Source organism: Homo sapiens, chromosome 17 (genome assembly GCF_000001405.40).
Source record: "Homo sapiens chromosome 17, GRCh38.p14 Primary Assembly".
In the NCBI taxonomy this organism is placed as follows: Eukaryota; Metazoa; Chordata; class Mammalia; order Primates; family Hominidae; genus Homo; species Homo sapiens.
Window position 1 is genome coordinate 67,390,229 of NC_000017.11, and position 15,695 is coordinate 67,405,923.

A 15,695-nucleotide genomic window follows, 5' to 3' on the forward strand; every position below is an offset into this window, starting at 1 on the left:
AATGACTGCAATTTAGGTCAGAACATGATACTTAGAGGGAAAAAAGTAATCATGGCTTGAATAGCTGCCCTAAGGCCAGCTACAGGGCTGCAGGGGTCTGTGGAACCTTTCTTGTCAGAACTCAGGATCCTTAGGAGTCCCCACAAGGGCATGGAGGCTGTGGCCATCATGAGTGGAAGAACCAGCTTCCAAAGGAACCTAGGATTGTTCTGGCCCTGGCTCCAGGTGCATATCTCTGCTTTCCGTGAGCATTGAATGGGAAATCACGTGTTAGCAGAATAAATCCCAGAATACACATTCAGGAGGAGATGGTTCCACATGGCACGTAAGTCCTTTGCCTTATTGATGTTTGTCTGGCAGATGTCCTTAAGCCTTCCCATCAAGGGCTTTATTCTAAGGGTGGCTAACTGGCTATTTAAACCTCATCTCAATAGTGTCTGTCTAGGATGGCAAAATCACACCAGGTTCTGCTGGGCAAATCTCCCAGGTGGCGTATTGCTAGAGGAGAGCGCCACTGCAGAGGACACACTGTCTTGGCCACTGGCTTTGCAAACCATAGTGGAGGAGGGAGTCTGGGGTCACCAACCACTTCCTGGCTGACTGCCTGAGCCACATTATACAAGACTGTTTGTTGACTTAGTAATACTGAAGCCAGAGCTCACCAAGATTCTGACATCAAGCATGAAAGTGACTAATTCTTTCATTTCCCAGCACTTTGACAAAGGGGACTCTCTTAAAACTCCTCATCGGACGTTAGTGGAAGTCGACTCATGTATCTAAACATGTAGCCAGCGTAAGTTCTTGGTCAGATTGATCTAATGACTTTTTTAGCGTGTGTGTGTGTGTGTGTGTGTGTGTTTAATCTTTTTAAGTTTGGGTGAAGTTTGACCTTCTAGAATTCCTGTTTATTCCTGAGCAAAGAAAAAAAAATCAACCCTTTTTAATTCCTTTAGCATCATATCTGACCATCTTTAGGGTGTTGTTTCTTTCCTAGACTGAATCACTCAGAGAAATAAGATTGGCCAACAAATGTAATTTGATGATACCCTATAATAATGTTGTTTAAGTACCTAATCTAAGCCGCTAATCTCCAAAGACTGTTCCCCCGCCCCATGTCATCTTACACACACACACAGGCACAAAAACACACACATTCTGTTCTGATTATATTTGCTGTATTAAGGCCAAATCCAGGTGTTTCTGAGCACTAGTTTGTGTGTTTTTATGTTGAAAATAACTAGTTTATGTATTTATTTATTTATTTATTTTTGAGATGGAGTCTCACATTGTCATCCAGGCTGGAGTGCAGTGGTGTGATCTTGGCTCACTGCAACCTCCGCCTCCTGGGTTCAAGTGATTCTCCTGCCTCAGCATCCCAAGTAGCTGGGATTGCAGGTACCCACCGCCACGCCCGGCTAATTTTTATATTTTTAGTAGAGATGGGGTTTCACCAGGTTGGCCAGGCTGGTCTCGAACTCCTGACCTCAGGTGATCTGCTCACCTCGGCCTCTCAAAGTGTTGGGATTACAGGAGTGAGCCACCGCACCGGGCCAAAAAATCCAATTTCTTAGAGATTAAATAACCCTTCAGGATTATCAAAGGAAATAATTAGGGAAAGGTAGATGTTCTGTCCCAGTAAGAGAAGAAAGTGGTCCAGAAATTTTATCTCCCATCAAATGATCCATTTTACTTAAGTATTAAACCAAGTGACATTCTTCAGTTTAACTCTGATAAATGAATCATATTCCTCTTCGAAAATAACTTTTGTATTTCGTGCTCTAAAAAGAGAACCACCCCTACACTCTTGGAAATTATTCCTTTTAATGGCAGTAAAAACCTTTGGCTTTCATAGGCATCATCAGCAGAGATGTTAGTTCATGAGCACCTGTGAGTTTCTCAAAATTAGTATCTGAAAATGATGGGAACACACAAGCGATACCATCATGTCTTTGGCACATTTAGTTGAAAACTTAAAATTCTTCCGGTGGAGGTAAGCAAATTGGAAGGTATTAAAAATGATCAGAGTGTACTATTCAGAGTTATAGATTTACCCTTCCATCCAAGATGGCTGCGCCTTGGAAACCCCCAGCTCACTTTTACTAGCAGTGCCTCCAGATCCAGTTTCTAAATCACACAGGGAGATTAACATTATTCTTTTATAGTCACACTGCATGTGGACTAAAATAATTTTTTTTAAAGAGACCGGGGTCTCGCCATGTTGCCCAGGCTGGTCTCAAACTCCCGAGCTCAAGTGATCTACCAGCCTTGGCCTCCCAAAGTGCTGGGATTATAGGTGTGAGCCGCTGCGCTTGGCTAAAATAAATATTTTAAAATTTAACACGATTATTATTTTGAAATTGGAACTCTAAAAGACTTTTCAAAATTCAAAATGATCAGGAATGTTAAAAACAATGAAAAAAAGCACCCCTAAACCTGCCCTAGATTCCCCAGGGGAGAGTCAAAGATGTTTTGCTTTGTATCAGCACTATTGAAATAAACATATTGTCACCTAAAAGGAACTATTTGAAGAGGACTGCACTTCACTGGATGTGTATATCCTGGTGAGTTTTTTATTAATGTTTATTGTTTTTTAAAAAATGTGTTAAAATGGCTGGGTGCAGTGGCTTACACCTGTAATCCTAGCACTTCGGGAGGCCAAGGCAGGCGGATTACTTGAGGTCAGGAGTTGGAAACCATGGTCAGGAGTTGGCCAACATGGTGAAACCCCATCTCTACTAAAAATACAGAAAAGTTAGCCGGGCATGGTGGTGCACGCCTGTGACCCCAGCTACTCAGGAGGCTGAGGCAGGAGAATCGCTTGAACCTGGGAGGCAGAGGTTGTGGTGAGTCAAGATCGCACCACTGCACTCCAGCCTGGGCTACAGAGCAAGACTCCACCTCAAAAAAAAAAAAAAAGCAGAAAAATGTGTTAAAAATATACACATAACATTTGCCATCTTAAAACTTTTCGAGTGTACAGTTTCAGTAGAATTGGGTACACTTACATTGTTGTCCAGCCATCACCACCGCCCATCTTCAGAACAGTTTTCATCTTGCAGAATTGAAACTCTGTATCCATTTAACCCTAAATCCCTATTTCTCCCTACCCCAAAGCCCCTGGCAACCACCATCCTACTTTCTGTCTCTGTGAATTTGACTACTCTAGGTATCTGATCAGGTTTTTTTTTTTAATTGGTTATTACTTATCATTAAACTCATTCATCGTTTCTTGAAATAAACCCAATAAACTTTAATGGAAGCTCATAAGAATTTTTTTCTGAATTCTGCCCTCTGTCAAAGGAAGAAAATGACAACATGGACGCATATCTGTATTTGGGTGGCATTAATGACTCAGTGACCTTCACTTTTGCAGCCAGCGAAATACTTGGCAATTTTAATTTAGAAATATTACTGTATCATCATTTAACAGAAATACTTACTAAAGCAGAAATATACTGACTTTAGAAGCATTTCAAAGAAGCAGGGTTGGCACTGACCAGTGTTCTCTTAAGGTAGAAGACAGAATATTTGACTAAAGACAGTGCTGTAGCAGGTAGAAATAGACATTATTTAGACCCCTTTTCTGAGTAAGGAAGACCAGTTAAAATGTTAGCTTATTTTTTGGGATTTTAGAAATGTTTAACTCAAGAGAAAAATATAACTTAAGTCAGTGTAATGGCGTATGAATAAGTTAACCGTGTAACATTTTCTTTTTTCTTCTGCCTCAGCCTCGCGAGTAGCTGAAACTGAACAGGCACCCGCCACCACACCCGCCTAATTTTTGTATTTTTCACAGAGATGGGGCCTCACCACATTGACCAGGCTGTTCTCAAACTCCTGACCTCATGATCCACCCATCTCAGCTTCCCAAAGTGCTGAGATTACAAGCGTGAGCCACCATGCCCGACCCATCTTATTTTTTAAAGAGGGAGTTTAGTACTGATTCTTAGATCAAAAGCAGCCAAATCCCCAGTATCACAGAAGAGATGAGGGTCTGGTTATGTGGCCCAGGCTGGTCTCAAACTCCTAGGCTCAAGTGATCCTCCCGCCTTAACCTCCTAAAGTGCTGGGATTACAGGCATGAGCCACCAAGCCTGGCCTTCTTTAACCTTTGTGTTGTAAATGTGTAATGTTTTGGTAACAGTAAGGGTTAAATAAACACCTTTTCTCCCTAGTAGGAAAATGCTTCTCAGATTGGATTGAAACTCTGAAGACCAACATTTTTCTAGATACTTTCTTGGATAGTGTTCATGACAAACTGCTACTTGAAAGTGGCAGGACCATTGTACTATAAAATCTAATAAAGCCCAGGTCATTGGCTATAGGGAGTTGAAAGCTCTATTTGTAGACATCACTAGGAGAACTGACAAGAATGAAAATGTTACACAGTTAAGGCCGGGCACGGTGGCTCACGCCTGTAATCCCAGCACTTTGGGAGGCCGAGGCGGGTGGATCATGAGGTCAGGAGATCGAGACCATCCTGGCTAAACCCCGTCTCGACTAAAAATACAAAATATTAGCCAGGCGTGGTGGCGGGCGCCTGTAGTCCCAGCTACTTGGGGAGGCTGAGATAGAAGAATGGTGTGAACCCGGGAGGCGGAGCTTGCAGTGAGCCGAGATTGTGCCACTGCACTCTAGCCTGGGCAACAGAGTGAGACCCCGTCTCGAGGAAAAAAAAAAAAGGTTGCCAGGAGCAGTGGCTCATACCTATAATCTCAACACTTTGGGAGGATGAGGTAGGAGGATCACTGAGCCTAGAAGTTCAAGAACAGCCTGGCCAACATAGTGAGACCCCATATCTATTTATGTATATATTTTAAAAGTTATAGAAAACAACGCTCTTATTAAACTGGTAATTAGCAACTAAAGTAGAAAAACATCACTGGATAGATGGCTGAGAAAAGGGATCTGTAATCACCTGCTTATCTGGACAGGTTTTTTCTTTTTTTTTTTTTTAGAGATAGGGTCCCACTCTGTTGCCCAGGCACCATCATGACTCATTGTAGCCTCACACTTCTGGGCTCATGCTATCCTCCTGAGTAGCTAGGACAACGGGTCTGCACCACCATGTCTGGCTAATTTTTTTCTTTTTGTAGAGATGGGCGGGGAGGTGTCTTGTTACATTGCCCAGGCTGGTCTCGAACTCTTAGCCTCAAGCAATCCTCCTGTCTTGGCCTCCCAAAATGCTGGGATTACAGGTGAGAGCCACCACACCTGGCCTGGACAGGTAGTTTTGAAAACAGGGGTTATCACTAGAGAAGTCTGTGCTTGAGCTGAGGAGCATGTCTTCTGAAATGTGTAAATTTCCTATAGTTAGTTCCCTGGTGGCGTGGCCCTCCATCAAGAACATTTTGCTGAGTTTTCCCTGACTTAAAATAATAACAGTGATGCTGGTGCTGATGAAAAGACTGATGTGGCCCTTACATCCCACATGAATCATCATTCGGGATTATTGTAGCCTCCATAAAAGTGACGCAGTGGATGAAAGTGGTTTTTCTCAATACTTAAAAACACTGTGAAAATGAGATAGGTTTAAAGATATAAATGTGATTTTTTAAATCCTGCCCCCCCACCCAAGTGCCAGGAGTTTGGTAACTAGAATTGCATTTAGTCATCGGGGTACAGATTGTACTGTGCGGGCTGGAGACTCAAACCCTGGGCTATTGAAGGCCATGACAAATGCTCATTTTTTAATATTATGTTTTTGCTGCTCATGAAGAAGCATCATGTTCAAAATGAAAAATCTTTAGATTCAGGACTTAATAGTTCACCTCTTTTGGATTGCGTTTGACGGAAACTTGGACACAGCTGAGTGTAATTATGCTTTTCAGCAGCATGACTTATAGTACTGCAGATATGGGCATACTTTGAGATTTTTCTTTTTGCCAAAATTTGTCTGAAAAGGAGCTTGGTGGTGGTTGTGTGTGCTTGTGTGTTTTTAAGGTAATTAGGCTATTAGAGGTCCAAATGGAATAATCCCCTTAAGCCTTTTCAGGAAAAACACTTTGGAAAGGTTAAGTAAATTTAAAATTAGCCATTATTTACGTAGGTGCTCAGCCTTTTGACCATGTTCTCTAGGAGTTGTTTCTTTTACATTTAGGTTATGTTTGTCAGAAACCATCTTATTTTTTATTTTTATTTTTCTTTCTTTCTTTATTTTTGAGATGGAGTCTCATTCTGTTGCCCAGGCTGGAGTGCAGTGGCGTGATCTCAGCTCACTGCAACCTCTGCCCTCAGGTTCAAGCAATTCTCCTGCCTTAGCCTCCCAAGTAGCTGGGATTACAGGCACCGGCCACCACACCTGGCTAATTTTTGTATTTTAGTAGGGACGGGGTTTCATCATGTTGGCCAGGCTGGTCTTGAACTCCTGACCTCAGGTGATCCACCAGCCTCGGCCTCCCAAAGTGCTGTGATTACAGGCGTGAGCCACCACACCTGGCCTTATTTTTATTTTTTGAGATGGGGTCTCTCTGTTGCCCAGACTGGAGTGCAGTGGTGCAATCACTGCTCGCTGCAGCCTTCACCTCCCTGAGCTCAAGCCTCAGCCTCCTGAATAGCTGGGACCACAGGTGTGTGCCACTACACTGGGCTAATTAAAAAAAAAAGTTTAGAGACAGGGTCTTGCTATGTTGCCCAGGCTGTTTTTCAACTCCTGGGCTCAAGGAATCCTCCTGCCTCATCCTCCCAAAGTGCTGGGATTACAGGTATAAGCCATTTCACCTGGCAACCATCTTATTTTTTTAAATTTATTTTTATTTATTTATTTTTTGAGACGAAGTCTCACTCTTATCCCCTAGGCTGGAGTGCGATGGTGTGATCTCAGCTCACTGCAACCTCTGCCTCCCAGGTTCAAGCGATTCTCCTGCCTCAGCCTCCCAAGTAGCTGGGATTACAGGCGCCTGCCACCACGCCCGGCTAATTTTTGTATTTTTAGTATAGACGGGGTTTCTCCATGTTGGCCAGGCTGGTCTCGAACTCCTGACCTCAGGTAATCCACCCGCCTCGGCCTCTCAAAGTGCTGAGATTGCAGGCGTCAGCCACCACGCCTGGCCGTGACCATCTTATTTTTTTAAAGAGAGAGTTCAGTACTGGTTCTGAGATCAAAAGCAGCCAGATCCCTGGTATCACAGAAGCTTCATCACGGATTCATCTATTTTTCATCTCCAGAATGGCCACCTCAGTGCTGTCCTGGCCAAAAATCTGTTCTCTAGACCTGGAGAAGGAACTGCCCTGAGGGTCTTCCACACCTCTCTTTTTGAGAAAAGTTAAGAACAAAGTAAAAAGATGCAGTGGAGAAATGACGTCGGGGGTTAATGGATTGGGATTTTAGGGCTGGAGTCCAGGCTTATGTTGCTCTCTGCTGAGCTCAGGATCTGCACTGAACATCTCTCTAAATCATGGGCTGGGGTAAAACCTGCTTACACTGGCTCAGACCGGAGGACTTTGCAGCCACCTCAAGACACACGTTTGGGTGTGTCCCATCTCCAATCAGGATGTTCAACTTGCTTTCTTGGATCTTTTTGAATTGCGAATTTGGCCATAGCTGACCACTTGTTTTTGCATCAATACTTCAAAGGGTTCAAGGCCAGGTGCGGTGGCTCACGCCTGTAATCCCAGCACTTTGGGAGGCCGAGGCGGGCCGATCACGAGGTCAGGAAATCGAGACTATCCTGGCTCACATGGTGAAACCCTGTCTCGACTAAAAATACAAACAATTAGCCGGGCGTGGTGGCGGGCACCTGTAGTCCCAACTACTCGAGAGGCTGGGGCAGGAGAATGGTGTGAACCCGGGAGGCGGAGCTTGCAGTGAGCCGAGATCGCGCCACTGCACTCCAGCCTGGGCGACAGAGCGAGACTCCGTCTCCAAAAAAAAAAAAAAAAAAGTGTTCAAATTTTAAGTCCTGGTAATTTATCCCCTCCCATAGCAAGTATTGGCGCAAAAGTAATTGTGGTTTCAGACCATGAATTTTAAATCATTGTAACTAGGCCCAAATACATCTTTATTAATCAAAATAATCAACACATTTTTGCCAATGAGAAATAAGTTTGTTTTTTCCTTTAATGTAAAAATCTGTGCTTCGGGATTCAGCGAACTCTTGGAAAGCATTTTTTTCTTCATCCTGCTGGTTGTGGAAGCGTTTTTCTGTATAAAAAGTTGTCGAGATGCTTGAAGAAGTGGTAATCGGTTGGCAAGAGGTCAGGTGAATATGGCGGAGGAGGCAAAACTCTGTAGCCCAATTGGTTCAACTTTCTAGGCATTGGTTGTGCGACGTGCAGTTGGGTGTTGTGGAGAAGAATTGGGCCCTTCCTGTTGACCAGTGCCGGCTGCAGGAGTTGCAGTTTTTGGTGCATCTCATCGATTTGCTGAGCATACTTCTCAGCTGTAATGGTTTCCCCAGGATTCAGAAAGCCGTAATGGATCAGACCAGCAGCAGCGACCACCAGTGACCGGGATCTTTTTTTGGTGCAAGTTTGGCTTTTGGGAAGTGCTTTGGATTTTCTTCTCAATCCAACCACTGAGCTGATCATCACCAGTTGTCGTATAAAATCTATTTTTCATTGCACGTCACAATCCGATCGAGAAATGGTTCATTGTTGTGGCATAGAGTAAGGGAAGACAACACTTCAAAACGACAATGTTTTTGATTTTCGCTCAGCTCATGAGGCATGCACTTATGAAGCTTTCTCACCTTTCCAATTTGCTTCAAAGGCCGAGTAACCATAGAGTGGTTGACGCAGAGTTCTTCGGCAACTTCTCGTGTAGTTGTAAGAGGATCAGCTTTTTTTTTTTTTTTTTTTTTTTTGAGACGCAGTCGCGCTCTGTTTCCCAGGCTGGAGTGCAGTGGTGCGATCTCGGCTCACTGCAACTTCCGCCTCCTGGGTTCAAGCGATTCTCCTGCCTCAGCCTCCCGAGTAGCTGGGATTACAGGCACATGCCACCACGCCCGGCTAATTTTTGTATTTTTAGTAGAGACGGGGTTTCACTGTGTTAGCCAGGCTGGTCTCGAACTCCTGACCTTGTGATCTGCTCACCTCGGCCTCCCAAAGTGCTGGGATTACAGGCGTGAGCCACTGTGCCTGTCAGAGGGTAAACTTTGATGGTTGTTCTCAGTTGGTCGTTGTCAACTTTCAATGGCTGGGCACTAGCTTCATCTTCAAGGCTCTCGTCTCCTTTGAAAAACTTCTTGAACCACTACTGCACTGTGCATTCTTTAGCCATTCCTGGGGGCAAATGCGTTGTTGATGTTGAGAGTTGTCTCCGCTGCTTTACCACACATTTTGAACTCGAATAAGAAAATCGCTTGAATTTGCTTTTTGTCTAACATCATTTCCATAGTCTAAAATAAAATAAACAGCAAGTAATAAGTCATTAGCAAAAAAAGTGAAAGAATGTGCATTAAAATGATGTATAACATAACCACATTTATTTAAGAATGTATTCCAATATCAAATGGCAAATTCCAACAGTGCAAAAACTTACCCCTGAAAACAGGCATAGTCACTTTCAAACTTGATTTTTCTTTCATTTTACTCTACCTTTTCATTTGATGAAACACCTTTGCATTTTATCTCCCTGAGCCAAAGTACCTGTAAGTTGCCCGGAGTTGGGGTTGGTGCAATACTGTGGAAGAGTGTGGACACGGAAGACCTAGTCAGTCCTTGCTGTGTGATATCAATGATTTGATTGAGAAAGACTCATTTTCCTGGGCCTCACCTGTCAATTTTCTCAACTGTCAAATGCCCTCTTTTGGCCTGTATTAGGGGCTGATCTCATGCAATACGGAGCCTACTCTGCAAATACAAGGGGTCATGGTCATTGTCCATTTGTGGGGAGTGTGAAAACACCTGGTGATCATGATGGGCTAGGTACTGTTTCACACTTTAAAATGCCTTTATTTTAGGGGGACCCTCTAGTGCCATAGGTATTTTGGAGTCTCTGCTTTCCAAATGGCCTATGGGAAATCCTGAGATGTCCGTGGGATCTAACTTTGCCCAGTGGGAATGTTGTGTCATAGTCATAAAGGCTTAAGGATTAGTTTATTTCCAGCCCTGCAGGGGCTATAAATTGCTACTTTAAATTTCATTCCAGCACCCTGATGTTTATGTTGCTATGGTGGTGTGTCTCTTGCTCGGGTGACAAGATTGCCATTGGAAATAGGCCAAAATAACAGCCTAACAGGTGGCTGTGCTTTGGGAAGTCATTTGCAAAACTATTTTGCGAAGAAGTCTGGTGCAAATAAGTCACATGACTGTGCCCTTAACTGTAGTTTATAGTTTAGCATTTTTTTAAAACGCATTCCTCCCCCTTTCCGTTTTATATATAGACTTTTTTCCTCTTTCAAGTAGTGCCGTGCTGATTTCCTGTAGTAACACAAGGAAAGATTTCAGCTCATTTTATTTAGCAGTGGATGTCCTTTCCTTATTTTTTGTAACCAGAGCCCTCTTTCTAAAAATAACCCTTCTTTTCCTAATGTGATTCTTCTTATAGCTGATGTACTCTATTTAAATGAAAGGCCTCTTTTTAACATGCCCATTTTAATCGATATATATTTATTACATATAACTATATATAATAAAATACATATATAAATATATAATAAAAGTAGATTTCCCTGTAGGGTCTAATCCTTCGTGAATGTGGTAGCAGAAATTGTTCGTTACGCTTTCACCTGCCAATTATGATTGTTTTCTTTCTTTCTGTTTTTTTTTGGAGATGGTGTCTCACTCTGTCATGTCACCCAGGCTGGGGTGCGGTGGTGCCAACTCGGCTCACTGCATCACTGCAACCTCCACCTCCCGGGTTCAGGCAATTCTCCTGCCTCAGCCTCCCGAGTAGCTGGGATTACAAGCATGCACCACCACACCCAGCTAATTTTTGTATTTTTAGTAGAGACGGGGTTTCACCATATTGGCCAGGCTGGTCTCAAACTCCTGACCTCAAGTGATCCGCCCGCCCTGGTCTCCCAAAATGCTGGGATTACAGGCGTGAGCCACCGCGCCTGGCCAGTTTTCTTTCTTTTGAGATAAAATCACGGAAAGAACCTGAGTATTAAACCAGTTAAACTTCCTACCCACTTAAGAGTCCTTTCTATGATAATCTTGGATGGCAATCATCTTGCCTTTGGGCTTAATACCAGCCATCGCTTGGGTGTGGGCTCTTTTTGGTAATACAACCTCTATGATTTTCCACTTTGATTTGTTGGAAGATGCTTTCTCATGTTTAGTTGGTATCTGACTCCTTAGAGCTTTCAGGATCGTTTCTACCACTATAGTGACAAACACAAGCCCTTTCCACATGCTGACTCTTTAAACATTTAAAGAAATCTATAATGTTGGCTGGGTGCGGTGGCTCATGCCTGTAATCCCAGCATTTTGGGAGGCCGAGGCAGGTGGATCATGAGGTCAGGAGTTCAAGACCAGCCTGGCCAAGATGGTGAAACCCCATCTCCACTAAAAATACAAAAATTAGCCGGGCCTGGTGGTGGGCGCCTGTAATCCCAGATACTCAGGAGGCTGAGGCAGAGAATTGTTTGAACCCAGGAGGCGGAGGTTGCAGTTAGCCGGGATTGCGCCACTGCACTCAAGCCTAGAAGACAGAGTGAGACTCTACCTCAAAGAAAAAAAAAAAAGAAAAGAAAAGAAATCTAGATTGTTCTCCTTTGATCTTCTCTTCCACTGGCTTGCTACTCTCAATTCCTTCAGATTGAATTTATGAAATGCTTTTGTCTCCCTCACCATTCCTGTGGTTCCTCTTTCTTATTGCCCTTTAGAAAATATTGAACGCAATGCGTTACAGCAGAGGTCAACTAACTTTTTCTGCAAACCGCCAGATAGCAATATTTTAGACTTGCAAGCCGTAAGGTCTCTGTTGCAACTACTCAACTCTGACCTCGTAACATGAAAGCAGGCATAGGGCAACATGTAAATGAATAGGCGTGGCTGTGTTCCAGTAACATTTTATTTGTGGACACTGAAATTTGAATTTCATAAAATTTTCACATGCCACGAAATATTATGTGCCTTTTGCTTTTTCTTTTCCAACCATTTAAAAATGCAAAACCCATTTGTAGTTGGAGAGGCGTACAAAAACAGGCTATGGGCTGCATTTGGCCCATGGGCCGTTATTTACTGATCTTAGATATTGGAGGACCAGTGCTGAAACCACTGGAACTTCAGCTTTAACACTAGCACTGTCATTTTCAGAAGCCGCATCAAACTGCTGGCTGCTTCTGACAAGGTGGTCAGTTACACTTGGTCTTCTCCACCCCCCATCCCCCGCCCCTCCGCCATTTCCTGACAAAGCTGTCTCTCTAACCTGTGGGTATGTGTTCTGCCGAAAACAAGCAGCCATACCACAGCAGCCGTAACCATAGGACTTTGAAACAAATGCAATGAATGGCATCCACTAGTTTCAAGTTTGACCACATGTTTTTATTGTTTGTTTGTTTGTTTTTTGAGTTGGAGTCTCGCTTTGTCGCCCAGGCTGGAGTGCAGTGGCGCAATCGCTGTTCACTGCAATCTTCCCCTCCCTGGATCAAGTGATTCTCCTGCCTCAGCCTCCCAAGTAGCTGGGATTACAGGTGCCCACCACCATGCCCGGCTAATTTTTGTGTTTTTAGTAGAGACAGAGTTTCACCATGTTGGCCAGACTAGTCCGGAACGCCTGACCTCAAGTGATCTGCCCACCTTGGCCTCCCAAAGTGCTGGGATTACAGGCGTGAGCCACCGCGCCTAGCCTGACCACGTTTTTGATTCTTGCTTCTGTTATATCTGTATTAACCGTTCTTCTTAGCTTCGTGGCAGATGTGATAAGCATGCCTTTGTGTCTTTCTCTAAGTCACTGACTTTTCAGTAACATCTAAATCATAAAACATAGGTCTGGCCAGGTGAAGTGCTTGTGCCTGTAATCCCAAGGGGCCAAGGCGGGAGGATTGCTTTAGTCCAGGAGTTGGAGACTAGCCTGGGCAACACAGTGGACCTCATCTCTACAAAAAAAAAAAAAAAAAAAAAAAGTCATGACTGCTTTCCTTTGTTGCAGAAACCAGTAGGTATTTGGGTGTAGAAATGAAACCCTCAATTATATTCATAAGGCTAAAAATGAACTATTCCCTACTTCCTCATTTGTTTTGATTTTTAAAATAAGGTTCTCGTTAGATATTTTGAGAAACAGTTTAAGATTATAATTTTGTATGCAGAGGAGAAAATTTAGAAAATGGTGAAGCCAACTTTTTTAGTGTATAAACATTTAATCATAATTATATATGTGTCCGTGTGGACATTTATTTACCAAGGCTTTGCTTTAAGGGGAAGGGAGAACACAGAGGGCCAACATTTATGGAACATTCTAGTGGGCCAGGCCCAATGTGTTAATCATCTCATTTCAATTTTGCAGTTATCCTCCAAGGTGGATCCTATTATCTTCATTTAACAGACGTGGAAATTGAGGCTTAGAGGATTTGACAAAATTACCCCCATCATTAATGGCAGAGCTGGGTGTAAACCCTGGGCTTGGACTGGCGTTATGTCTCACGGCTGTAATCCTAGCATTTTGGGAGGCTGAGGTGGGTGGATCACCTGAGGTCAGGAGTTTGAGACCAGGCTGGCCAACATCCTGAAACCCTGTCTCCACTAAAAATACGAAAATTAGCCGTGTGTGGTGGCAGGTGCCTGTAATCCCAGCTACTTGGGAGGCTGAGGCAGGAGAATCCCTTGAACCTGGGAGGTGGAGGTTGCAGTGAGCCGAGATTGCGCCGCTGCTCTCCAGCCTGGGCGACTGAGCCAGGCTCCATCTCAAAACAAACAAACAAAATCCCTGGGCTTTTTGGCTACAAATTCCATTCCAACAACACCTTTGTTTTGCATAACCAAAGAGAAGTTGATGTTAATTCATTGTCAAGTTATTTGTACCGATATACTAAATATCCTAAAATGGGGATATGTTCCTCAATTATTTACTGGAATGGTAACATTTCTGGAGCATATATCTTCAAAACTGTAATGTAAATTAAGAATATGAACATTCTCAGTGGAAAATGACTGTTCAAGTTAACATTATTTGCATTTGCCATTCTTTTGTAAAGCCAGAAACGTAGATACAATTTTAGATTACCTTCAAGCTATTATAAATCTTGAGGGAAACCTTGATTGTTTTTTAGAAAAATATGTCTATCTAGACTGTGTCTTGCAAACAGGCACTTTAAGATGTCATTATATGAATATTCAGAAACTCAGATGTAATAGAACCTAGATGAGAATGTGTGATAATCTAAAGATATCATTTAAGTCAGGGCTTTAAAAATACATGACTTCAAGTGAAAAACTGAGCCTTGTAAAGAAGTTCTTTACAATTCACCAAGCATGCTCTAAACCTGCATCCATCCTGAGTTCTTTAAAAGCAGACTTATAAAAGGGAGATGAAAGATATTTTCAAAATATATTTTTGAAGCACAAAGTAAAACATATTTAATATTTTAATTGTTTGAAATGAGTTGCTTAAACTAGTAGCTGCTGCTGGGAATGACAAAAGCTTGGCTAAGATTATTCTATGGGGAAGCTGGTTTATGGCTTTCTGGAGCTGGTGGCCAGGCATGGTGTAGATTATGGGTTGCTTGTAGGATTATGTTTGTTATTGCCTCTTTTTTTAACTCCCTATAGGAGCTTTTATAGTGCTTTGCACATGGTGGTTGCTTCGTTGAGGATGACTACCAGTTTATGGTCATTTAAATTCAGATTTAGGGCCAGGCACCGTCACTCACGCCTATGATCCCAGCACTTTGGGAGGCCGAGGCAGGCAGATCACCTGAGGTCAGGAGTTCGAGGCTAGCCTGGCCAACATGGTGAAACCCTGTGTCTACTAAAAATACAAAAATTAGCCAGGCATGATGGCGCACACCTGTAATCCCAGCTACTTGGGAGGCTGAGGCATGAGAATCACTTGAACCCAGGAGTTGGAGGTTGTAGTGAGCCAAGATCGTGCCACTGCATTCCAGCCTGGGCAACAGAGTAAGACTCCGTTTAAAAAAAAAAAAATTCAGATTTAGGGACAGGCGCAGTGGCTCATGACTGTAATCCCATCTACTGGGGAGGCTGAGGTGGGAGGATCATTTGAGCCTGGGAGTTCAGGGCTGCAGTGAGCTGTGATTGTGCCACTGTACTCCAGTCTGGGTGATAGAGCAAGACCCTGTCTCAAAAAAAAAAAAATCAAATTTAATTTTGTGTTGATTGTGGCTTAAAAAACAAGAAAAATATATTGCTGTTCAAAAATTTTTATTTTTTATTGGATATTGCACGGGTATGAATCAATTTACCCATAAATCTATCGTCCGTTTAATAAGTAGAATGTTACGAGTTTACTCAACATTTTCTTTCTTTCTTTCTTTCTTTTTTTTTTTTTTGAGACAGGGTCTCGCTCTGTCGCCCAGGCTGGAGTGTAGTGTCGTGATCTCAGCTTACTGCAACTTCTGCCTCCTGGGTTCAAGCGATTCTCCTGCCTCAGCCTCCCGAGTAGCTGGGATTACAGGCATGCACCACCACGCTCAGCTAATTTTTTGTATTTTTAGTAGAGATGGGGTTTCGCCATGTTGCCCAGGCTGGTCTTGAACTCCTGAGCTCAGGTGATCCTCCCGCCTTGGCCTCCCAAAGTGCTGGGATTACAAGTGTGAGCCACCATGCCTGGCCCCTGTTCAACATTTTCT

General features: G+C 43.2%; 1 protein-coding gene across 3 annotated transcripts in view, besides 3 other annotated features; it reads left to right on the forward strand.

Moving 5' to 3' along the window:
• Positions 1-15,695, forward strand: part of PITPNC1 (phosphatidylinositol transfer protein cytoplasmic 1) — a 319,976-nt gene that overhangs the window by 12,948 nt on the left and 291,333 nt on the right. Inside the window, exon 1 of one of the 3 annotated variants that reach the window (XM_047435746.1) lies at positions 756-793. The exons of the other annotated variants lie outside the window; for them this stretch is intronic. The gene's annotated coding sequence lies outside the window, so the exon portion shown is untranslated. Of the gene's footprint in view, positions 1-755; positions 794-15,695 lie in introns of those variants that run through there. 3 annotated transcript variants of the gene reach the window in all.
• Positions 775-844: a silencer, noted in NCBI's record as "silent region_8875". NCBI's record gives its function as "represses an Ori minimal core promoter by ATAC-STARR-seq in GM12878 lymphoblastoid cells {active_cell/tissue: GM12878}" and the evidence as "EXISTENCE:reporter gene assay evidence [ECO:0000049][PMID:35858748]".
• Positions 2,147-2,196: an enhancer, noted in NCBI's record as "active region_12623". NCBI's record gives its function as "activates an Ori minimal core promoter by ATAC-STARR-seq in GM12878 lymphoblastoid cells {active_cell/tissue: GM12878}" and the evidence as "EXISTENCE:reporter gene assay evidence [ECO:0000049][PMID:35858748]".
• Positions 11,925-12,219: a silencer, noted in NCBI's record as "tiled region #1189; HepG2 Repressive non-DNase unmatched - State 23:Low". NCBI's record gives its function as "represses a minimal TATA promoter and a strong SV40 promoter by Sharpr-MPRA in HepG2 cells {active_cell/tissue: HepG2}" and the evidence as "EXISTENCE:reporter gene assay evidence [ECO:0000049][PMID:27701403]".